At 55.6% G+C, this 23,815-nt stretch overlaps 2 protein-coding genes across 7 annotated transcripts in view, besides 6 other annotated features; both read left to right on the plus strand.

The window, feature by feature from the left end:
* Positions 1,696-1,945: a silencer, noted in NCBI's record as "silent region_10707". NCBI's record gives its function as "represses an Ori minimal core promoter by ATAC-STARR-seq in GM12878 lymphoblastoid cells {active_cell/tissue: GM12878}" and the evidence as "EXISTENCE:reporter gene assay evidence [ECO:0000049][PMID:35858748]".
* Positions 1,707-13,462, plus strand: TMEM145 (transmembrane protein 145). Of its 5 annotated transcripts, none has more exons than NM_001366910.1 (15): positions 1,707-1,894; positions 2,670-2,744; positions 2,849-2,926; positions 3,011-3,097; positions 3,190-3,291; positions 3,391-3,475; positions 3,586-3,657; positions 3,770-3,838; positions 4,879-4,959; positions 5,060-5,138; positions 5,268-5,361; positions 6,107-6,279; positions 8,715-8,835; positions 11,981-12,187; positions 12,676-13,462. In NM_001366910.1, exons 1-15 carry the CDS (start codon positions 1,775-1,777, stop codon positions 12,922-12,924), a joined length of 1,692 nt encoding a protein of 563 aa, NP_001353839.1. In that variant the 5' UTR covers positions 1,707-1,774; the 3' UTR covers positions 12,925-13,462. The 5 variants fall into 5 exon arrangements, with proteins under 5 accessions (NP_001353839.1, XP_011525093.1, NP_775904.2 ...); XM_011526791.4 differs by having other exon boundaries at positions 3,190-3,249; NM_173633.3 differs by having other exon boundaries at positions 3,190-3,249; positions 13,135-13,462.
* Positions 3,047-3,547: an enhancer, noted in NCBI's record as "H3K4me1 hESC enhancer chr19:42818801-42819301 (GRCh37/hg19 assembly coordinates)". NCBI's record gives its function as "activates a minimal SCP1, AML or CMV promoter by ChIP-STARR-seq in primed H9 embryonic stem cells {active_cell/tissue: H9 hESC(primed)}" and the evidence as "EXISTENCE:reporter gene assay evidence [ECO:0000049][PMID:30033119]".
* Positions 13,959-14,148: a silencer, noted in NCBI's record as "silent region_10708". NCBI's record gives its function as "represses an Ori minimal core promoter by ATAC-STARR-seq in GM12878 lymphoblastoid cells {active_cell/tissue: GM12878}" and the evidence as "EXISTENCE:reporter gene assay evidence [ECO:0000049][PMID:35858748]".
* The window catches only part of MEGF8 (multiple EGF like domains 8), a 53,131-nt gene continuing 43,348 nt past the window's right edge, over positions 14,033-23,815 (plus strand). For both annotated transcript variants that reach the window (NM_001271938.2, NM_001410.3), the window contains exons 1-5: positions 14,033-14,828; positions 22,003-22,166; positions 22,405-22,611; positions 23,433-23,613; positions 23,695-23,783. In NM_001271938.2, the coding sequence (NP_001258867.1) occupies positions 14,642-14,828; positions 22,003-22,166; positions 22,405-22,611; positions 23,433-23,613; positions 23,695-23,783 (828 nt within the window). In that variant the 5' untranslated portion in view covers positions 14,033-14,641. The remainder of the gene's footprint in view (positions 14,829-22,002; positions 22,167-22,404; positions 22,612-23,432; positions 23,614-23,694; positions 23,784-23,815) is intronic.
* Positions 14,189-14,328: a silencer, noted in NCBI's record as "silent region_10709". NCBI's record gives its function as "represses an Ori minimal core promoter by ATAC-STARR-seq in GM12878 lymphoblastoid cells {active_cell/tissue: GM12878}" and the evidence as "EXISTENCE:reporter gene assay evidence [ECO:0000049][PMID:35858748]".
* Positions 14,549-14,618: a silencer, noted in NCBI's record as "silent region_10710". NCBI's record gives its function as "represses an Ori minimal core promoter by ATAC-STARR-seq in GM12878 lymphoblastoid cells {active_cell/tissue: GM12878}" and the evidence as "EXISTENCE:reporter gene assay evidence [ECO:0000049][PMID:35858748]".
* Positions 14,629-14,698: a silencer, noted in NCBI's record as "silent region_10711". NCBI's record gives its function as "represses an Ori minimal core promoter by ATAC-STARR-seq in GM12878 lymphoblastoid cells {active_cell/tissue: GM12878}" and the evidence as "EXISTENCE:reporter gene assay evidence [ECO:0000049][PMID:35858748]".

Below are 23,815 nucleotides of genomic sequence, written 5' to 3' on the forward strand. Positions count from 1 at the left end.
CGAACCCTCTATTTTTCAAGGGTGGTGGAAACTTGGTACTTGAGGAAAAGAACATTTCAGGCAAGGGGAACAGCATATGCAAGTCCTGGAGGAGGCTGCATAGCAGATACAGGGCCATTTTCACTCAGCAAATCCCTAGGCCATGCTGGGACCTAGAGTAAGCCACATCTGGGCCTGCCCTTGAGCGCCTCCTGGTCTGTGAACACAGGGAACAGTGTATGTGCAGGCTCAGGGCAGGAGTGACAGATCAGGGCTGAATCTGGCCCACAGGCTTTTTTTAGTTTCACCCACGATATGTTTTAAATGTTGGAATCAATTGCCTACTGTTACAAACCAGGCAGTTTGCTTTTTTTTTTTAAATTGCATTTCTGGCTTCTTTCAGAAGGAAAGAAAAAATAAAAAAGGATCTGGCAGCAGCACTACAATCCTTCCTGGCAACAACTGGCCAAGTAGCAGAGGCCCCCTCTTTGTGGGATCCATGCTCTCCATTAAAAATGTTTCACTTATATTTCCAGCTTGGCCCCTTGGCTTAGAAAATTTGTAAAAAATGGTATTTTGAGCAGCCCCCGTTTTCTGCAGTGGAGAAGGATGAAGCTAGAAATGTTTGTTGGAGTCTGATCAGGAAAATCAAGGTGAAGGGCATGGCTTCTACTCTGGAAAAGCCTTTCTAGGGCTTGCTGTTGTCCACTGGGAAACCATAGGGTTGATATCTGCATAGAGGGGACTGGGCTAGGAGATCATAGGGCTGAATGACTTGGCCCAGGTCTTATGGTGGACAAGTGAAAAAGTAGGGGTCAGGCTGGGATTTGAATGAACCCAAGCAAGTTATTTTAACTTGGATCTGAAACATGCTTTTGGCTATCTCACACTACCACCTCTGTCTCTCACAGCAACCCAGCTTCACAGCATGGTAAGCAGTGACAGGTCATGGTCAGGCAGAGGGGTACGGTGGTTATACTGAAGCCTCCACCACCACCATGTGGTGTAACAAGTGGCTTCCCCTCTCTGTGCCTCCATGGGCACTTTGCAGGGTGCATCAGATCTAGAACGCTGGCAACTCCAGGATGGACACAGCTGGGGATGGCTGCAATAGAGGTGGTGATGGGCAATCAAAGACTTGTTGGCCAGGCGCGGTGGCTCACGCCTGTAATCCTAGCACTCTGGGAGGCCGAGGTGAGCAGATCACTTTAGGTTAGAAGTTTGAAACCAGCCTGGCCAACATGGTGAAACCCTGTCTCTACTAAAAATACGAAAAAATCATCCGGGCGTGGTGGTGGGTGCCTGTAATCCCTGCTACTCAGGAGGCTGAGGCAGGAGAATCGCTTGAACCTGGGAGGTGGAGGTTGCAGTGAGCCGAGGTCGCGCCACTGCACTCCAGCCTGGGTGACAAAGCAAGACTCGTCTCAAAAAATAATTAGTTTGGGGACTACATTGAGGGGAGGCCAGGACAGAGCATGGGTCTGGGGATCCGGAGAAGGCAGTCTGGAGGAGGCATGGCTTTGGAAGACGTGAGTTCAGTTTAGGACACAGGAAACCATAGGTATCTACGGGACTCCAGGAGGGGAGGGCTGGGGCGGGGTGACAGAGGATGAACGTCCCCCTCCCACGCGGAGAAGATAGGAGTCAGGTTGGGCCCTCTTGGAGGAGGGGGCAGGGAGCGCGGCGCCCGGCGGCCCCTTTAATCGGGGGCGCGCGCTGGCCAGCCCGCGCGCTCTCGCCTCCATTGCCGGGCCAGTGCGGGAGCCGGAGCGGAGCCGGGGCCGGAGCGGGCGGAATGGAGCCCCTGCGCGCGCCCGCGCTGCGCCGCCTGCTGCCGCCGCTGCTGCTCCTGCTGCTGTCACTGCCCCCCCGCGCCCGGGCCAAGTACGTGCGGGGCAACCTCAGTTCCAAGGAGGTGAGCATGCCGAGCCCTCCTCTGCGGCCCGCCGGCCCCCGGGGGACGCAAGGGAGGCGAGGGGAGCGGGTACCGCCTCGCCCCCTGCCGCCCCTCCTGGCGGACTCCGGGAGCCTCGGGGGAGTGGGGCCGAGGGCGATGGGGGACTGGGCCAGAGTCGAGGCTAAGGGGAGCCGTAGGGTCGCGGCCAGACCTGGGGGTTGTAGGAGGGACGTTGAGGTCAGAGCTGAGCGGGGAGGGGGAGCGGGTTGGGAGAGTCAGAGTTTGGGAAGGGTGGTGCAGAGGTGGTGCTGAAGGGACAGCACTTTTCACTCAGCAGAGAGCCCCGAGCTCGCCGCCACACTCCCGCTCAGGACCGGGAGGGGGCCGTTTGGAAGATTCCCCCGCGCGGGATGGTCTTTGGGAGCACGGGGTGGGGTGCAGGGGAGTGTGGATATTGGGGGAACGGGGTTAGATATTGGCCAGGACATGAGGTGGCCAGGATGAGCATCTGGCCCCTAAGGTCTTTCTCCCCAGAAAGATCCCGGGAAATGCAGGGAGGAGTGTTTGAATGGAGGGGAGGAAACTTGGGGGGGCAATGGAGGGAGAAAATCAGGGCGGCAGGAATCCTGGACCCACAGTGACGGGATCAGGGAAGGAGTTTGGAGGTGACCTGGTCTCCTTCTAGTACTTGGGAAGCCAGGTACCTGGGGGGTAGGGAAGAAAAGTTGGGGGTCTATGGAGTAAAGAGTTCTTGAAGGACTCAGCGGAGGGTCAGACTGGGCCCCTTTTTCAGGACTGGGTGTTCCTGACAAGATTTTGTTTCCTCTCGGATTACGGCCGACTGGACTTCCGTTTCCGCTACCCTGAGGTGAGTCTCCCCCAACACTCGCCATGCTGAGGCTGGGTACTTCCCTTGGCCTCCAAAGGCACAGGCTGCCCCAGCTCCCGGTCCCCAACATCTCTGGTCTGCAGGCCAAGTGCTGTCAGAACATCCTCCTCTATTTTGATGACCCATCCCAGTGGCCAGCCGTGTACAAGGCAGGGGACAAGGTGAGGGCTGTGAAGAGGGCATAGGGGGAGAGGGGAGAAGGTCGTTGCTGGCCGGGGGAGTGACCCTGTCCCTGCCTTCCCCAGGACTGCCTGGCCAAGGAGTCAGTGATCCGGCCGGAGAACAACCAGGTCATCAACCTCACCACCCAGTATGCCTGGTCCGGCTGTCAGGTGCAGGCTCAGCCTGGGGGAGTGGGCAGGTGCTGAAGGATGAAGCCTTCGGGGCATCAAGGACAGGCTTCAGCCTTCTCGTTTGTCCCCAGGTGGTATCAGAGGAGGGAACCCGCTACCTGAGCTGCTCCAGTGGCCGCAGCTTCCGCTCAGTGCGTGAACGGTGGTGGTATATTGCGCTCAGCAAGTGTGGGGTAAGGGGCTGGGGTGGCCACCTGGACCACCTTCTCTTTGCCTTCCTGCCAACCCCCAACTTGCCCAGGGCCCCCCTTAGGCCTCCCTACCCCCCACAGGGTGATGGATTGCAGCTGGAGTATGAGATGGTCCTCACCAATGGCAAGTCCTTCTGGACACGACACTTCTCCGCTGATGAGTTTGGTGAGCACGTGGGGACCTAGAAACCAGGCTCTCTGTGGGACACCAGAGCTGGGTGCCCACTGAGGGGACATCCACCTGAATGAACCTTACTCCTCCTACCAAATCGGCAGGGATCCTGGAGACAGATGTGACCTTCCTCCTCATCTTCATCCTCATCTTCTTCCTCTCTTGTTACTTTGGATGTGAGTCTGGCACATGGGGTGTGGGGGAAGAGATAGGAGGGAGCAGGGTTGGGGGAGGTGAGCTGCTCTCCCTTTCTGCCTGTGGACAGCCTTTCCCTACCTTGCTTCCTAGATTTGCTGAAAGGTCGTCAGTTGCTCCACACAACTTATAAAATGTTCATGGCCGCAGCAGGAGTAGAGGGTGAGGTTCCGTGTCCCAACTTTTGGGTTCTGAAAGAGAAGGCACTTGGGGCCAGACACCTGGGCCTAAGAGGAATGCCTGGGGGCCTGGACTCCTGGGTCCTGGGGGAGGAGGGGCTGGGGGCCTGGACTCCTGGGTCCAAGGGAGAAGGGCCTGGGGGCTTCGACTCCTGGGTCCTGGGGGAGAAGGGGCTGGAGCCCTAGTTCCTGGGGGAGGATGGGCTGGGGACCTGGACCCCTGGTTCCTGGGGGAGGAGGGGGTGGGACCTGACACCCCTGGGTCCTTGAGGGAGTATAAAGGCCGGAACTAGGCTGGACACGGTGGCTCACACCTGTAATCCTAGCACTTGGGGAGGCCAAGGTGGGCGGATCACGAGGCCAGGAGTTCAAGACCAACCTGACCAACATGGTGAAACCCTGTCTCCACTAAAAATACAAAAATTAGCTGGACATGGTGGCGTGTGCGTGTAATCCCAGCTACTCAGGAGGCTGAGGCAGGAGAATTGCTTGAACCCGGGAGGTGGAGATTGCAGTGAGCCGAGATCACGCCACTGCATTCCAACCTGGGTGACAGAGAGAGACTCTGTCTCAAAAAACAAAACAAAACAAAACAAAACAATAAAGGCCTGAACTCCTGAGTCTGGGGGAGGAGGGGCTGGGAGCCTGGACTCCTGGGTCTGAGGGAGGAGGAGCTGGGGGTCTGGACCCCTGGGTCCTGGAGGAGGAGGGTCTGGGGGCCTGAGCCCCTGGGTCTGAAGGAGGAGGGGGTGGGGGCCTGGACCCCTGGGTCTGAGGGGGGAGGGGGTGAGGGCCTGGACCCCTGGGTCTGAGGGGGTAGGGGGTGGGGGCCTGGGCCCCTGGGTCCTTGGGGAGCAGGGTTGGGGGCTGGACTCCAGATTCTCCTAGCAGGTGAGTCGGGGTAGAAGGTCTGGAGTCCTAAGGGAGGAGGCGGGATTCAGACTGCCTGGATGGTAGTGCTAGAGAACAGTGATGCCCCAGAGCTGCTTTCTATCCTTTCTTATCTGCCCATCCTCCCCTCAGTCCTGAGCCTCCTATTTTTCTGCATCTACTGGGGTCAATATGCCACCGATGGCATTGGCAACGAGAGTGTGAAGATCTTGGGTGAGAATGAAGCTGGGTGGGGAGAGGGTGGAGCCCAGGGCTCAGGTTGGGCATCAGGTCTGAGCCTGGCTCTGAGCCGCCCCCTCCTCCCTTCTCCCAGCCAAGCTGCTCTTCTCCTCCAGCTTCCTCATCTTCCTGCTGATGCTTATCCTCCTGGGGAAGGGATTCACGGTGACACGGTGCCCGGGCAGGGCGTGCTCGTGGGGCGGCTGGTGGGGGAGCAGGGCAGGGGCAGGGTTGGGGGGCTGGGTGCATCCTCCTCCCTGACGGCCCCCACCCTGCTGTCTCCCCTCATGGCCTGCTGCCAGGGGCCGCATCAGCCACGCGGGCTCCGTGAAGTTGTCTGTCTACATGACCCTGTACACGCTCACCCATGTGGTGCTGCTCATCTACGAGGCGGAAGTGAGTCCGACTGGCCCCTGGCCGGGCCCTGCCTTCCCCTGCTTTTGGCGCCGCCTCCCCCTTGACCTGTCTGCTCGCCCTTGCCCACATCCTGCTCCTGCTGGCTCGCTCTCTCTCCCACTCTTCGATTTTCTGCTTTCCCATCTGTCTAAGTGATTCCTCCTCTCTTCACCATCCCGCAGCAGCTTTCTTTCTCCTCCCTCTGTCTCTCACTGTCTGTCACATTTGTGCTCAATATCGTGACTAAGAGTTCAGGAGTCACACAGACCTGGATTCCACACCAGCTCTCCCACTTCCTAGCTGCCTGACCTTGGGTGACGACCCCTGTCTCTGGGCCCATTTTCTTCTTGGAAAATTGGGAGGATCTTACCTACCCCATGGAGCCCCTCTAAGGCTTTCTATCGTCTGTATGGCTTTGGCCAAAGGGCTTCCCTCTTAGCCTTAGTTTCCTCTTCTGTGAGATGGAGCAGTAATAAGACCTACCTCGTTGAGTAGATGCTGATGGAAAAACTCACACATGAGAGGGGTTTAGCCCTGTGTTGAGCAAACAGTAACTGATTTATTCTCTTCCTGTCTTTTTCACCCTCTCTCTCTACCTCAATATGCTTCTGTCTCCGTGCCTGGCTCTCCTGTTGCTTGTGTTCTGACCGAGTACCTCTGTTCCCAAGTGCCCAGGGGTGGGGTCCGGGGACCCTAATAGAGGGGAGGAGGCCAGGCTGTGATGGACCCTCTCCTGCGGGTCTAGTTCTTTGACCCAGGCCAGGTACTGTACACGTATGAGTCGCCGGCCGGCTACGGGCTCATTGGACTGCAGGTGGCGGCCTACGTGTGGTTCTGCTATGCTGTGCTTGTCTCACTGCGACACTTTCCTGAGAAGCAGCCTTTTTATGTGCCCTTCTTTGCTGCCTATACCCTCTGGTGAGAATTGGTGGGCCCCAGCCTGTCCCTGCCTCCCTCTCGGGGCTCCCCAGAAGTGGTTGCCCCCCATCTCAGACCCTCCATAGTGAGGGAGATGGACTTTTCACTCAGGCAGCTGTTGCCCAGAATCTGCCACTTACTCACTTTGTGAAAAATTACTTTCACAAGAAGTGCATCAGGTTTACCCATAAAACAACAGGATCTCGCCAGGCGTGGTGGCTCACGCCTGTAATCCCAGCCCTTTGGGAGGCCGAGGTGGGCGTATCACAAGGTCAGGAGATTGAGACCATCCTGGCTAACATGGTGAAACCCCGTCTCTACTAAAAATACAAAAAAATTAGCCAGCCATGGCAGCATGCACCTGTAGTCCCAGCTGCTGGGGAGGCTGAGGCAGGAAAATGGCGTGAACCCAGGAGGCGGAGCTTGCAGTGAACCAAGATCGCACCACTGCACTCCAGCCTGGGCCACAGAGCAAGACTCCATCTCAAAAAAAAAAAAAAAAAACCAAACAGGATCTCCTCAGGCCGGGCGTGGTGGCTCACACCTGTAATCCCATCACTTTGGGAGGCCAAGGCGGGTGGATCACCTGAGGTCAGGAGTTCGAGACCAGCCTGATCAACATGGTGAAACCCCATCTCTACCAAAAAATAAAAAAATTAGCCGGGCATGCTGGTGGGCACCTGTAATCCCAGCTACTCAGGAGGCTGAGGCAGGAGAATTGCTTGAACCCGGGAGGCAGAGGTTGCAGTGAGCCGAGATCACATCATTGCATTCCAACCTGGGCAACAGAGCAAGACTTCATCTTCAAAAAAAAAAAAAAACAGGATCTCCTCAAAGGGATATCTTGAGCAAGCATAGGCCACTATATGAGGGCCGAGTGTCTGGCACATAGTAAATGTTCAGTAAAAAACTATTGTAGACTGGGTGCGCTGGCTCATGCCTGTACCCCCAGCACTTTGGGAGGCCAAGGTGGGTGGATCATTTGAGATCAGGAGTTCAAGACCAGCCTGGCCAACATGGTAAAACCCCGTCTTTACTAAAAATACAAAAAAATTAGCCAGGCATGGTGGTGCACGCCTGTACTGCCAGTTACTCGGGAAGCTGAAGCAGGAGAATAGCTTGAACCTGGGAGACTGAGGTTGCAGTGAGTTGAGATCGTGCCCCTGTACTCTAGCCTGGGCAACAGAGTGAGACTCCATCTCAAAAACAAACAAAAAACAACAACAACAAACAAAACAAAAAAACACCCAAAACTATTGTAATTATTATCGTTCACCATAACATAGCAATAAGGTTGGCAGATTCTGAGCCAGACTGTCCGGGTTCAGATCTCAGCTCTAAAGCTTATAGATGATGTGACCTCAGACGAGCCCATTAACTTCTCTCTGCCTCAGTTTCCTCACCTTTTAATGGGGATGGAAATTTTATCTGCTTCATAGAGTCACTGTGAGAGTTAAATGAGTTTATATACATCAAATGCTTAGAAACAGGCCTGGCATGCAATAAGTCCTTACTTCTTATTATCATTTGTTCATTCATTCGTCAAATATCTATTTTTTTTTGTTTGTTTGTTTTTTGTTTTTGAGACGGAGTCTTGCTCTGTCGCCCAGGCTGGAGTGCAGTGGCACGATCTCAGCTCACTGCAACCTCCGCCTCCTAAATTCAAGTGATTCTTCTGCCTCAGCCTCCCGAGTAGCTGGGACTACAGGCGCATGCCACCACACCCTGCTAATTTATGTATTTTTAGTAGAGATGTGGTTTCCACCATATTGGCCAGGCTGGTCTGGAACTCCTGACCTCAGGTGATCCACCTGCCTTGGCCTCCCAAAGTACTGGGATTACAGGCATAAGCCACTGTGCCCGGCCTGATTTCTTCTTTTTTTTTTTTTTTTTTTGAGATGGAGTTTCGCTCTTGTTGCCCAGGCTGGAGTGCAGTGGTACAATCTCCGCTCACTGCAGCCTCCGCCTCCCAGGTTCACGTGATTCCCCTGCTTCAGCCTTCCAAATAGCTGGGATTACAGGTGCATGCCACCACACCCAGCTAATTTTGTATTTTTAATAGAGACGGGGTGTCACCATGTTGGTCAGGCTGGTCTCGAACTCCCAACCTCAGGTGATCTGCCTGCCTTGGCCTCCCAAAGTGCTGGGATTATAGGCGTGAGCCACCGTGCCCGGGCTGTCTATTGATTTCTTATCAGATGCCAGGATTTGGGGTGGTGTGGAACTGAGTTAAATTGAACCTCCTTCTTGCCCCTCAGAATTTCCCAGTCCAGTCCTGCCCCATTTCAGTCTCTGGCTTCTGAAGGTCACACTGGCTTCCCTCCAGTTTGGGACCTGCCTGGGGTCTGCGTGTGTACATGGCAGGCGAGGTGGGGCTATAGGGTGGGGTGGAGGACAGGAGCAGTGTCTCTACTGACCCAATACTTCCCCTTCAGGTTCTTTGCGGTTCCTGTCATGGCCCTGATTGCCAATTTCGGCATCCCCAAGTGGGCCCGGGAGAAGATTGTCAATGGCATCCAGCTGGGGATCCACTTGTACGCCCATGGCGTGTTTCTGGTGAGGATGGGCATCTGTGGGGGGTGGAGGGGAGGACCCGAGGGCAGAAGATGTGTGAGGCTCCTACACCTGATCTGCTGGACCTCCTGTTCTGAGGTCTTGATCCATTTTCCTTTTAGTCATTCTCCCTTTATTGAGAGCCTGCTTGGTTCCTGCAGTCTCCTCTATTGTGCTCCTCAGAGTCCATTTTCTTCTCTTTTTTTTTTTCGAGACAGAGTCTCACTCTGTCTCCCAGGCTGGAGTGCAATGGCTTGATCTCGGCTCCCTGCAAACTCCGCCTCCCGGGTTCAAGTGATTCTTCTGCCTCAGCCTCCCGAGTAGCTGGGATTACAGGTGCCCACCACCACATGCAGCTAATTTTTTGTATTTTTAGTAAAGGCAGGGTTTCACCATGTTGGTCAGGCTAGTCTCAAACTCCTGACCTCAGGTGATCCACCCGTCTCAGCCTCCCAAAGTGCTGGGATTACAGGCATGGGCCACCTCGCCGGGCCCATGCCCATTTTCTTCTGTTCCCCTCTCCAACTTTGTGTCCTGGCTTCTTTCCTCAACCCCCATCCTCTCTCTTTGCCCTCCCTTCCCATTTCCATTCCTGACCCTGTGTCCCCAGATTCTTCCATTTCTCTTTTGTATCCCCACTGCCTTCCCCACCCTCCTTGATCTCTCCACTCTCCCCCTGCCCCTGCCCAAATTCTGCCATCACAGGCCACTGTTCAGGAAGAAGCATCTGGGGTGGCACAGGGTGAAGCTTTTGGGCTCCTGGGTCGGCAACAGGAGGGTACAGCACCACATCTTTTTTTTTTTTTTTTGAGACGGAGTCTCACTCTGTCACTAGGCTGGAGTGCAGTGGCGCGATCTTGGCTCACTGCAACCTCCACCTCCCAGGTTCTCCTGCCTCAGCCTCCGGAGTAGCTGGGACTACAGGAGCACGCCACCATGCCCGGTTAAGTGGTTTTTTTTTTTTTTTTTTTTTGAGACGGAGTCTTGCTCTGTTGCCCAGGCTGGAGTGCAGAGGTGCGATCTCGGCTCACTGCAACTTCTGCCTCCCAAGTTCATGCCATTCCCCTGCCTCAGCCTCCCTAGTAGCTGGGACTACAGGCGCCCACCACCACGCCTAGCAAATTTTTTTTGTATTTTTAGTAGAGACGGGGTTTCACTATGTTGGCCAGGATGGTCTCGATCTCCTGACCTCATGATCCGCCCGCCTCGGCCTCCCAAAGTGCTGGGATTACAGGAGTGAGCCACTGCGCCTGGCCCCCACCACGTCTATTCTTTGCCCTGGTTCACATCCTATCTGACATTCTTGGTGACAGTTCTAATATTCATTAATTTATTCATCAATTGTTCACTGGGCACCTGTCTTGAACCAGTCTGTTTCATTCTAGGAACATCCATATGCATTTACTCCTGCCCTCTTGTTTAATTGTCAGAGCAGCTCCAGGAGAGGGTGGATAATTGACATTGTTCCCACTACACAGAGCGGGGAAGCTAAGGCCCAGAGAGGAGAAGTGACGTGCCAGGGCTCCGTGGCCTTTGGCGGCAGGCAAATACTTTGAACCCTATCCTTCTCCAGCAGACCACAAGGTCTGAAATGAAGGGGAACCAGAAAGGGCAACAGGCATGACCCAGTGTCCCAGCTTCTGACTCCAGGGATCTACAACGTACCCCGTGTAGGGAGTGGGCCCAGCCACCGAGGGAGGGGACAGGTCCCCATCCTTTGCCTCAGAGGCTGACATAGGTACAGACTCGCTCACCTTCCCAGGCTGGTCTATCCTGAAGCTCTGCAGGAAGTCAGAAAGGGACAGAAAGAGGAGAAATGCTGAGAACCCATCATGTGCTGGGCTCTGCACCAGTGGTTTTCATTTCCACCCTCTCATCTTTCCAAGTAGGCGCTACAGTCCCTTTTCCCCACAGCGAGGCTCAGGGAGTTTAATCAACATGCCCCAGATCCCATACTCAGTGAGCTACAGATCCCAGAGGCGGGATGCAGGCTCAGAACGGCAAGCACAGCGCCCTTCCTGCTGTATCTCAGCCAGCTTCCTTCCTAAGGATGCTCACGTTAGCTCAGCACAGCTCCACCTGGGTATCTCAACGCTCATTGCTTTCAGCTCCTTGTTCATTTTTTTCAGCACAACCTTAGAAGAGCTGTGTTAGGTTTCCGGGATATGGCGGTGGAGTCACACCCAGTCCCTGCCTTCACAGCCTATCAGACTAACTGGTACCAGACATCCCTACATTCCACCAATATTTATTTATTTATTTATTTATTTTAAATTTTTTTTTTTTGAGATGGAATCTTCCTCTGTCGTCCAGGTTGGAGTGCAGTGGCATGATCTCGGCTCACTGCAACCTCTGCCTCCTGGGTTCAAGCAATTCTCCTGCCTTAGCCTCCCAAGTAGCTGGGATTACAGGCGCACCACCACACCTGGCTAATTTTTGTATTTTTAGTAGAGATGGAGTTTCACCATGTTGGCCATGCTGGTCTCAAACTCCTGACCTCAGGTGATCCGCCCGCCTCGGCCTCCCCAAGTGCTGGGATTACAGGCGTGAGCCATGGCGCCTTGCCCACCAATATTTACTGAAGGCTTATATGCGCCAGGCATGGTTCTAGAAGGTACTAGGGACTCAGTAGGGAACAGAAGAGTCTGGTTCCTGCCTCATCGAGACATTTTAGAGTCTATTAGTTGCTGTCCAATTGAACTTTCTGTATTTATGAAAATATCCTATTACCTGCACTTTCCAATATGGGAGCTACTAACCACATGTGGCTGTTGAGCACTTGAATGTGGGTAGTGCATAGTGAGTGTGTAGTGAGGAGTGTGACCAAAATTTAAATTTTATTTTGATTAAATTTAAGCTACATGCAGCCAGTGGCTATCATACAGTGCAGGACGCTGACCCTAAGCAATCAGTGACAGCTCAGTGATCAGGCCTCTGATGGAGGAAGCACAGGCCGAGTTTTGTTGAAGGGAAAAGGTGAGGGTCCAGGGCATTTGGAGAGCCCAGAGGGGACGCCTAATCCAGTGTGAATGGCTTCAGGGAAGTGTGGTGGATGTCAACTGAAAGGGAATCCTTCGGACCCCAAGTTTATGGGGACAGCCTCCGGCCTGACAGTGCCTCTCACACCTGCTCCTGGCCCTGGCCTCAGATCATGACCCGCCCATCAGCGGCCAACAAGAACTTCCCGTACCACGTGCGCACGTCGCAGATCGCTTCAGCCGGAGTCCCTGGACCCGGAGGGAGCCAATCCGCTGACAAGGCCTTCCCGCAGCACGTCTATGGGAACGTGACGTTTATCAGCGACTCGGTGCCCAACTTCACGGAGCTCTTCTCCATCCCCCCGCCCGCCACCTCCGTAAGCCCCGCGGCCCCAGCGCCCGAGGAGCTGCTGGCGCCGCCCCTGGAGTACCTGACCCCGCTCCCGGCCCCGCCGCCGCCCCCAGCGCCCGGACCCCTGAGCCCTCCTCCTGCCTTTCGCACTCCCCGCGCCCCAACACCGCGCCGCGACCGTCCCCTGGCGCCCGCGCCCACCCTGCCTGACTGGGTTCTGGCGCTGTTGCGCACACCCCCGCAGACTCCCTGCGCCGTGCCCCCACCGCCCGCCTTCCGCGGCTCTCCCCCAGCTCCCCGGCCGCCGCCGGAGTTCGCCCCGCGCGCCCCGACGCCGCCCTTTGAGTACCTGGCCCCGCTGCCCAGGCGCCCCGCCACCCAGTCCTTCCCTGACTGACAACGTGCGTCCACACCTGGGGTGGAAGGGTTCTCCGGGGGAGGGGGACGGGCCTTCGGGGCCGCATCTGCCCCCCGAGGGTCCCGGACGGCCTCTGACCCTGACCCCCCTCCCAGGCCGGGAAGCAGGTGGAGGAGACAGCGGTGGCGGCGGCGGTGGCCCCGAGGGGCCGCGTGGTGACCATGGCCGAGCCGGGCGCAGCCTCCCCCCCACTTCCCGCTCGGTTCCCCAAGGCGGCCGACTCGGGCTGGGACGGCCCGACGCCGCCCTACCAGCCGCTCGTGCCCCAGACGGCAGCGCCGCACACCGGCTTCACCGAATACTTCAGCATGCACACGGCCGGGGGCACTGCACCCCCGGTCTGAGCACCCCTGCCCGCCCCTGCCCCATGGGCCATGACCGGGCCCCGGCCGGGCTCCGGACCCCTGCTTTATCCCGGCCCGAGAGCTCGCCCATCCCCGGCCTTCCCGACCCTTCCCACCCCGCGCGCCCAGGTTGGGTACGCTGCGTCCCGCCCCCCTCCCCTCTGTGCCAAACGGTCCCGCGGGAGCCGCTCTCCCCGTCCCCTCCCTCAGCCCCTGCCCCGAGCGGCGCCGGATTCTGGGCTCCCGCTGTTCCGTGACCTCCGGCCCCCTGGCCCCCTTCGAGACCTCTGACCCCGCTGGACTCCGGAACACCCGTGGTGACCGCCGGGACCCTGCCTGTGACTCTCCAGGACTCTGCGACCCCGGGATGGATATTGCGATGCTGGTCTCGACCCTGAAACCCTCCCTCGGATCTGTGACCTCGGACCCGTACTCCATCTGCCGCATCTCCATTCCGGGGGCCTTCCCTCGGGTCCCTGGCAGAAAGACATTTTACCCCTTCTTGCCAAAATAAAAAAGGATTCGTTTTTATCTATAACATGGCTTCTTTTGCATCTTGATGGTGTTCAGCGGCGGGGCTGAGCCAGAACTATGTCAGGCTCGGGACCTCAGTGTGTCCATCTGTGAAATGGGAATTTGGAACCGGAGGCAGGGGCCTGTATAACCTGATCTTTATGTTGCCCCAGAATGTGGGAACATTGAAGATGATCAAACATCTAGCAGGGTCTTGCACCGCTCCTTTATTTTTGCCTTCCTTTCCTCACTCAGAGGTAGAGGCGCCCTCCAGTGGCCCATGCTTTGCTGAACCACAGGCACCCAGAGTTTGGGTTACGATCTTAGCACTGCGCATATGTGTATTTCTCTCCCTCCAGGAGGACGCTGCTGCGCATGCGGTTGGGAACAAATGGGCGGGGATTTCCCCGGAAGTCTCCCTTTATGGAGGGTTGGGGTTGGGCGCTCCGCAGTCCTCCCAGGGCCGCTCTGACCGGCCGCTCTGTAACTTCTCGCCTCCTCTTCGCCGTCCCTCCCACAGCGGCTGCTCGGCTCCCGCCCCCTCGCCCTCCCACAGCGGGTCTTCCCGCGGCCGCTCTGGCCCAAGCGTCCCCTCGTCTCTCTGATCTGGCCCATCCGGCTTCGGAGGGAGGCGAGGGTGGGTGAGCAAAGGGATTGGGTCTGTGGGGTCCAGGCCCGAACCCCTGAAGACGGGCTCCGCCCCCGGCACCCGCTCGCGCCCCGCCCCCGGCTGGAGGAGTCTCTCCTGGACCATCCGAACCTAGCCTGTCCCGGCCCGCAGCCTCTATGGAGGCTCCTGCCGGGCCGTAGAGCCCTTCGCCCCCTGGGGACCCACCCGTCTATAAGGTCCGTTTGGCCTGCAGCAGCCTGAGTCCGTAATGCTGGGCACTGTTCATGGGATCGGCCCCCTATGGAGCCCTGTGTCTATAGGGGACTCCTACGGTCCCTAGGGTTCGGCCCCGTCCATAATGACTCCATATACAGGGCCTTCCATCGCTCTATAGGGCTCAGCCCTCGGCTTCCAGAGCCTGTCAGCAGTGGCCGTACCCTTCGCCGGGACTGCCGGGTCTCCGGGACCTCTTCGATCTACAAGGTCATGTTATGCCTATAGAGGTCGCATTTGCAGGGCCTCACCCCGGGTAGAGGGTCCTCTCCAGGTTTTTACGGCCTGTCCCCGCTCTAAGGGTCAGTGCAGGAGGCGGCGATGGCCCTGGGCAAGGTTCTGGCCATGGCACTGGTTTTGGCCTTGGCCGTGCTGGGGTCGCTGTCCCCTGGGGCCCGGGCGGGGGACTGCAAGGGGCAGCGGCAGGTGCTGCGGGAGGCGCCAGGCTTCGTGACGGATGGTGCGGGCAACTACAGCGTCAATGGCAACTGCGAGTGGCTCATCGAGGGTGAGTGGGGCCGCGTGGGTCACTCACTAATTCGCTGGTAGTTCATTCATGTGTGCATTCATCCACTCACCACATTCCCAGAGCTCGGTTCTGGTCCAGGCCTTTTGCTCTAAAATGCCTGACACCCAGGGTTGCAGCCAACCTGGGCCCTGCCCTGGAAGGCCTCCAAGTCTGGTGGGGGAGATGCACCTACACCCAGATTTACAATTACAAGACAGGAGCATCAGTGCCGGGCCTTCTGAGTAACTGTTAAGAACTCAGGGTCTGGGTCCAATCATTTGGCTTTGAATTTGGTTCTACTACTACTACTTTTTTTTTTTTTTTTTTTTGAGATGGGGGCCTCACTCTGTCACCCAGGCTGGAGTGCAATGGTACCAACACAATTTACTTACTGCAGCCTCGACCTCCTGGGCTCAAGTGATCCTCCCACCTCAGCCTCCCAAGTAACTGAGTGTGTAGAGACAGAGTCTCACCATGTCGCCCAGGCTAGTCCTGAACTCTTGGGCTCAAACGATCCTCGCACCTCAGCCTCCCAAAGTGTTGGGATTGTAGGTGTGAGCCACTGTGCCTGGCTTCTTATTATTAGCTTTGTGACTTTGAGCAGGTGGTTTTCTTTCTCTGAGGTTCTGTTTCCTTCCCCCACAAATGGGATAACAACAGTACTCACCTCATAGAGTTGTTGGAATGAAATGAAAACAGGTATTTAACATGCCTGATGTGTGGCATATAGTAACTGTTCAATAAATGGCATTAGGATTATTGTTGTTGTTATTTGTGAAGTACTTCAATAAAAGCATTTTTCTTCAGTCATTCATGTGCCAGACATTATGTTTCCCATTGGACATAGCCCAGACTGAGACAGCTCCAGCAATCCCTGGTGACTTAGGTCTTGGAGTCTAGTTGGGGAGACAAACACATTAATAGTGAGAGACAAGAGTGGTCTTTGATGGAGGAACCCCAGAGGCCTGGGAGAGCCCAGAGAAAGTGCCTGATCTGGGGCCGGGGAGAACAGAGAGGCTTCCTGGAGGAGGAAATGTCTAAGCTGAGACTTAAAGGACCAATAGGAATCTGTCAGGAGTGGGAGGAAAGGCCCCAGCCCTACCCTTCTGGGCTCCCAGTCAGTGGGAGAGACAAACCCACTCCGAGGCTGTTTGTTTTCCTTTTCCACCCAATAAACTCCTATGCATGCCTCAGAACCCTGCCCCAGTGGCTCTTTCTCTGTGAAGACATGTGGCTTAACCTGGGGTATAGCTGAGATCAGAGGCATCTGTACGAGGGAGCAGAAGGGCATTCCAGGCAAGAATAGCTGTGCAAAGGCGGGGAAGCGGGAGAGTGATGCTTTTGAAGAACTAGAAATCCAGTGTGTTAAAACATAGAATACTGGCAGGGTATGGTGGCTCATGCCTGTAATCCCAGCACTTTGGGAGGCCGAGGCCGGCAGATCGCCTGAAGTCAGGAGTTTGAGACCAGCCTGGGCAGTATGGTGAAACCCCATCTCTACTAAAAATACAAAAATTAGCTGGGTGTGATGGCGCGCGCCTGTAGTCCCAGCTTCTCAGGAGGCTGAGGCACAAGAATCACTTGAACCTGGAGGTTGCAGTGAGCCAATATTGTGCCACTACGCTCCAGTCTGGGCGGCAGAGCGAGACTCCATCTGAAACAAAAACAAAAACATAGAATACAAGACAACGAATGAGCCAGAGGCTGCAGGGTGGGAGGAGCCAGCAGGTGTAGGGCTCTGTGATTTTGAGCTGTATCCTGAGGGCAATACAGGGGTGAAAGAGAAGTTGAAAGGCAGTACCTGCAGAAGCCCAGGAAGGCCTCACAGAGTAGTGGATGTAAAAGCTGGCCTCCAGACAGGGGAGGTCCTGGGCAAAGGCCAGAGGTGTGACAGAGCCTGGATCATGCAGGGCCTCCCTTGGGAGGCTGTGGAGCTTTGTCTTTGTCTGGGGGCTCTGGGGAGCTATGGAAGGGTTTTGAGCAGGGAGAGGACATGATCTGATTTATGTTTTAGAAGATCTCTCTGGCTGCTGTGTGGGGTATGGATGAAGGCCTGTTTCTCAGTGATAGCATGTCTACCTGTTCCCAGCTTGGGGGCCATTCCTGTCAAGCTAGTGGGATGAGAACAGAATAGGAAGTGTGTGTGTGTGTGTGTGTGTGGCGAAGGGGTCTGTGTGCTGGATATAAATCACTCTCTGGCCTTAAAGAGTCCCAGACTGGTTAGGCCAGGTGCGGTGGCTCACGCCTGTAATCCCAGCACTTTGGGAGACCAAGTGGGGCGGATCACCTGACGTCAGGCTTTAGAGACCAGCCTGGCCGACATGAAGAAACCCCCTCTCTACTAAAACTACAAAAATTAGCCCTGCGTGGTGGCGCACATCTGTGGTTCCAGCCTGGGTGACAGAGCGAGACTCTACCTCAAAAAAAAAGAAAAAACGTCTCAGACTGGTTGGGAATGGTGGGGCTGGACACAGATATTCAGCCCCCAGTGTGTTCACTGAGACAGTGCTCAGGGCTAAGAAGGAAAGTGGAGGGGTGGGGTGGATGTACCTAGGGAGGAAAGAGGACTGTGCTGCAGATAACAGAGCAGGAGCCACTAAAATAGGGTTCTGAAGCATGCATAGGAGTTTATTGAGTGGGAAAAGGGAGCAAACAGCCTCTATGAAGACGTGAGGGTGGCTGGAGTGTCTCAGGATCCCCATCTAGGTTTGCCTGGTCTTATGGCACTTTTGACTGGGAGGTAATGAGAGCCAGAAGCAGGGGAAGAGGGGCCTTGAATGTCACACTGAGCAGCCTGGCCTTCCCCTTGGGGTTGATGGGCAGCCACAGGAGGTTTTGAGCAGGAGTAGGGCATTGCCCTCAGGTTGGGTGTGGGGCAGACTGGAGACTTGATGAGCTGATCTGGCAAGAGAGGATGAGTTCCTAACTAGGGCAGGGGCTTAGAGGGGTGGAGAGGTGTAGACAGTGCAATCGATGTTTGTGGAGTTTCACCTATAAGACTTGGGGACCAACTGGGTAGATGTTGGGGTGAGGGAGGAGGCTGGGAGACCTCCAGATCCCCCTTGATGATCTTCTGTTCTTACCAATGCCTGTCACTTCTTACCTATAAGAACCAACATCTTCCTCTATCTATTATAAAATAAACAACCAGCCAGGGGCAGTGGCACATGCCTGTAATCCCAGCACTTTGGGAATCTGAGATGCAAGGATTACTCGAGCCCAGGAGTTAGAGACTAGCCTGAACAACATGGTAAGACACTGTCTCTACAAAAAAATTACAAAAGATTAGCTGGGCTTGGTGGGTGGTGGCATGTGCCTATAGCTCCAGCTACCGGCGAGGCTGAGGTGGGCAGATCCCTTGAGCCTAGGAGGCTGAGGTCTCAGTGAGCCGAGATTGCGCTGCTATACTCCAGCCTGGGCAGCAGAGCGAGACCCTGTCTCAGGGAAAAAAAAAAAAAAAAGATAAACAACCAACCTACTAACTTTTGTATTATGTTCATACTTTATCTAGTCCTAGACTTTTTTTTTCCGAGAGAGAATCTTGCTCTGTTGCCCAGGCTGGAGTGCAGTGGCTTGATCTCGGCTCACTGCAGCTTCTGCTTCCCAGGTTCAAGTGATTCTTGTTCCTTGGTTTCCTGAGTAGCTGGGATTACAGGCATGTGCCACCATGCCGGGCTAATTTTTGTATTTTTAGTAGAGATGGTGTTTCTCTATGTTGGCCAGGCTGGTCTCAAACTCCTGGCCTCAAATGATCTGCCCTGGGATTACAGACGTGAGCCACCACGCCCAGCCCAGTCCTAGTCCTTATAACATCCTCATGGATAAGAGGCATCCTGCTTTTGAGCAGGAGGGAGTTTGGGATCAGATTTCTGTCTGGAGTGGTATGGGGGTTGGGTGGAAACAGAAGACCTTCAACTTAGGGAAGAACTTGGGGAGGCAGATGGTGAGCTGGCCTCCAGCAGGCACTTAACAAAGATGTACTTGTGATTCCAGAAACAGAGCTTTATAGTTTGGTTGAGGCTGGTAAGATTCTGGGAGGTCTGGTTGTGTGGCCGTGCTGAATGGTTCTTCTGCATTCCCCAAAGCATGGGTGGGGTCTGTGTCTGATGTCTTGGGGGCTCTGGTTAGAGCCTGAGGGAGAGCTTCCAGCTTTAGTATTCTGTCTTTTATGTATTTCTTCATTTCATCATCCAGCATTTCCTGAGCCTTTGCCAAGCCCGGGTCTGGGCAATGCTGCAGAGGGAATTAGGTCCACATCCAGGCCCTGCTCTATGGGCCTTGTAGGCTGCAGGGAGACAGACCTGGACATAGATGTTCCTGGCCCAGAGGAATGAAGGTTATAATGGGATGTGAGAACCCTGGAGAGGGGGCATCTAACCCAGCTAGGGGGCATCAGGAAGAGGCCTGGTGGTGGGAAGGGATAATATGTTGCAGACAGAGGGAGAAGCTTGTACAAAGGCCCAGCTCCCATTAGAGCTGTAAGCAGTGGGGTGATTTGAGACAAAGCGAGGGTCTGAACAGCAGGTTAGGGACCTGGACTTTCTCCTAGGGTGGTAGGGAGCCATGCAGGGCTTTGGGGCAGGGGAGGGACGGGGCCAGATGTTGAGTTGGGAAGATCAGAGACTCATGTCAGGGGAAGAAGGAGGTTGGATCAGTGGTTCTGGTGAGACAGGATGAGGCCGGGCAGCCAGGGCACACTCTGGCTCTAAGCTGGCAGGCTGGAGTCATCACCTCGTTGAATGTTCACCCCAGCCTTTGTGGGTGGGGGGAATTATCCCCATTTTACAGTCATGGAAACTAAGGCTCAGAGAGCCCATGGAACTGGCCCAGGATCACCCAGCCATTGGCAGTGGTGGCTGAGTGTCTCCAGGATCCAGATAGGCACACTGAGGGTCATGGGGGAAAGGGCTGGCCCAGGGTCCTCCAGCTGGTCATGGGCAGAGCCAGAGCCAGAGCCAGAGCCTAGGCCTCCTAATTTCCCTCACCCAGAGGACTCCCCTGAGCTGCCTGTTCAGAAGGCTTCTCATGTGGGATGTGGAATGAGAGAGGCTACCTGAACTAGGACTGGCAGAGAATAAGACAGTGACAGTGTTAGGGGTAGTGGCACTCTCCACGATATGTGGGCCCCATTGTCAACATTTCTTTTTTTTTTTTTTGAAACAGAGTTTCACTCTTGTCGCCCAGGCTGGAGTGCAATGGCATGATCTCAGCTCACTGTAACCTCTGCCTCCCGGGTTCAAGAATTCTCCTGCCTCAGCCTCCCAAATAGCTGGGATTACAAGCATGTGCCACCATATCCAGCTAATTTTTTGTATTTTTAGTAGAGACGGGGTTTCACCATGTTGGCCAGGCTGGTCTCGAACTCTTGACCTCAAGCGATCCACCCACCTTGGCCTCCCAAAGTGCTGGGATTATAGGCGTGACCCACGGCACCCAGCCTCTTTTTTTTTTTTGAGTCCCCTCTGTCGCCCAGGCTGGAGTGCAGTGGTGCAATCTTGGCTCACTGCAACCTCTGCCTCCCGGGTTCAAGCAATTCTCCTGCCTCAGCCTCCTGAGTAGCTGGGACTTGCACCACCATGCCTGGCTAATTTTTGTATTTTTTTTTAGTAAGAGACAGGGTTTCACCATGTTGGCCAGGCTGTTCTGGAACTCCTGACCTCAGGTGATCCACCTGCCCTGGCCTCTCAAAAGTGCTGGGATTACAGGCGTGAGCCACCCACCCCACTCTGTTGTCACCATTTCGTGTGCATTATTGCTCCTCATGAGGTTGCAGTCAGATGTCAGCTGGGGCTGCAGTCAGCTGAATGTTCACCTTGGCTGGACATCCAGGAAGGTCCCTCCCAGGGCTGGCAGTTGATGCTGGCTGTCAGCTGGAAGCTCAGTTGGGACTGTCAGCCGGAATGCCTGTGTGTGGCCTTTTCTTGTGGCTTTGGCTTTTCTTTGTTTTTTTTTTTGAGACGAAGTCTCGCTCTTGTCCCCCAGGCTAGAGTGCAATGGCACAATCTCGGCTCACTGCAACCTCTGCCTCCCAGGTTCAAGCAATTCTCCTGCCTCAGCCTCCCAAGTAGCTGGGATTACAGGCACCCGCCACCATGCCCAGCTAATTTTTGTATTTTTAGTAGAGACGGGGTTTCGCCATGTTGGCTAGGCTGGTCTCAAACTCCTGTCCTCGTGATCCGCCTGCCTTGGCCTCTCAAAGTGCTGGGATTACAGGTGTGAGCCACCGTGCCCAGCCGGCTTTGGCTTTTCCTATCATGACAGCTGTGTTCTGAGAAGGAGCATTCTACGAGGCCCAGGTGAAAAGTACAAGTCTTCTTATGATCTAGCCTTGGAAGTTTCAGAATTTCTGCTGTTTTTTTATTGGTCAAGCAAGTCACTAAGGCTCTTCCCAGATACGAGAGGCAGGGAATTAACTTTCAATGGCAGGAGTGGCCTATAAGTTTGATTCCACCACAGTACCACTATATCCCACTTTAGAGATGAGGAGACCGATCCAGAGGGGGTGGGTTACTTGGCCAAGATCACACAGCTGGTAGCTATTTGGTGGCAGAGCCAAGACATAAGCTCAGGCAGTCTGGTTCCAGAGTTTGTGCTTGTAACCATCACAATAAGCAGAGGTGAGACTCTGGATGGGGACAGAGGGGAACTATGCCGCTCCAAGGTTAGGCCTCTGTTCTGGGGGAAGAAGCTGGACTCTTCTCTTGCAGCTCTATTCAGCGTGGGCCAGGGGTGGTGTCACGGAGGTGCTCTTCTCACTGGGATTATGACCTTGACCCTCCAGCCTGGACATGTCTGAAACTCAGGCATGGACAGGAAGAGAGAGGCATCAGGAACACTGGATTCTGCTCTGTGTGGCCACTGGGATGGGGTTTTCTCTGTACTTAATTTTCCCATCTGAATGGTGGGAGTGTTCATTCTGATCTCAGGTGACCTTTCTAGAGGTCTGGAATATTATGATTCTTTCTCTGGGCTCCTGTCCCTCTGGCTGTCACAGCCCTTGACTGCCCTAGGTTATGAGACTGGGGGCCCCTTCAAGGCGGGGCCCAGGTCTGACTCATTCTTGAGCCCCCAGCATCACCTGGATCAGGGTTTGGTGTACAATTGTGGGAGGCTGCAGGGAGGTGTGGGGAGAAGGTCCGCTTTAGAGCTTGGTCCCTCTGTGCTCACCTCCCAGCCCCAAGCCCCCAGCACCGGATCCTGCTGGACTTCCTTTTCCTGGACACAGAGTGCACGTATGACTACCTGTTCGTGTATGACGGTGACTCCCCGCGAGGGCCGCTGCTTGCCAGTCTAAGTGGGAGCACCCGACCTCCGCCCATCGAAGCTTCCTCAGGCAAGGTTAGTGGGGATGGGGCCGTGGCAGATACACCGAGGGAAATGGAAGAAGAAAGGAGGGACAGAGAGTCAGTAAGAGGGCATCCAAGAGCAGAGCACAGGGACAAGGGAAGGTGGAGAGAGGCAAAGGAAGGAGATGAGGCTCTGGGTCCCCCAGGGTGGAAGGGGGCAGGAGTGGGCCACCCTCCCAGGACAATCCCCAGGCCCTGCCCACCTTACCCAGCACACCTTGTGCCCGCAGATGCTGCTGCACCTCTTCAGTGATGCCAACTACAACCTGCTGGGCTTTAACGCCTCATTCCGCTTCTCCCTGTGCCCGGGTGGCTGCCAGAGCCACGGGCAGTGCCAGCCACCGGGTGTGTGTGCCTGCGAGCCGGGCTGGGGGGGTCCTGACTGTGGCCTGCAGGAGTGCTCAGCCTACTGTGGCAGCCACGGCACCTGCGCCTCGGTGAGCCGGTCCCCAGCCCTGTTTCCCCTGGGGCCCTGATCTGTGAGCGCAGCCTCCACGCCCATCTCCTAGGTCTGACCTTGCTCCTGCATGAAACTCCCCCCACCACCCCACCCTCCTCCGTGACACCCACTTCCCTCTCCTTCCAGAGCTTGCCCCTCACCTGTTACTCCAACCCCACCCCACCTTCACCTGCAGGGCCTCCCCTGCTGAGGATATCCCACTCTCATCTATACCCCACTCTCATCTGTGAACACCACCCTCCTTCCTCCAGCCAGGCCCAAATCTGTCCTCCCATCCAGCCACTCTGTGTGGCCTTGGACCCCTGCCATGACTTCCAGCCTCGCACCACTGACCTTACGCCGAAGCTGTGTACATCCAGCTTTCAATCTGGATTGCGCTTTGAGCCCTCCCCGCCTTGACCTCCCCAGATCTGAGCTCTTTCAGTCCAGGCTGAATGTCAACTACGCTGTCTGTATTCTCCCAGCCTGCCGTCTTTCTGTCTTTTCTCCTTTTTCTCTGTGCATCTTTTCCTTTTTCTGTTGGTCTTCTTTTTTCCGTCTGTCTGCTTCCTTCTGATTGTTTCTCTTTGTCTCTTGTTTCTGTCTGACAGTTTGCCTTTCCCCTCTTCCTGTCTCTCTCTGTCTCCCTTTCTCTCTCTCTCTTTCCTTTTCCATCCTCTCCCTTCCTGTCTGTCTCTTTCTCTCTCCCTTTGTGCCCTGTCTGTCTCATTCTGCCTCTTTTCCTCTCTGTGTCTCCTTTGTCTCTCTGTCCTTGTCTCTCCCTCTCTTATCTCTGCCTTTATGTCTCCTTTCCCGCAGCCCCTGGGACCATGCCGCTGTGAGCCTGGCTTCTTGGGACGTGCCTGTGACCTGCACCTGTGGGAGAACCAGGGGGCTGGGTGGTGGCACAACGTGAGTGCCAGGGACCCTGCCTTCTCTGCCCGTATTGGGGCAGCTGGCGCCTTCCTGTCCCCACCAGGGCTGCTGGCAGTTTTCGGAGGTGAGCAGATGGGGCGAGTATCTGGGATCTGGAGGCCCGGCAGCCTATGGCCAGGGCATGAGACTATCCACCCCTCCACAGGCCAGGACCTCAACAATGCCCTGGGTGACCTCGTCCTATACAACTTCTCCGCCAACACCTGGGAGTCTTGGGACCTGAGTCCTGCCCCGGTATGGACCCCTCCTCTGCCCTGGAGGAGCCT

Source organism: Homo sapiens, chromosome 19 (assembly GCF_000001405.40).
Source record: "Homo sapiens chromosome 19, GRCh38.p14 Primary Assembly".
Lineage (NCBI taxonomy): Eukaryota > Metazoa > Chordata > Mammalia > Primates > Hominidae > Homo > Homo sapiens.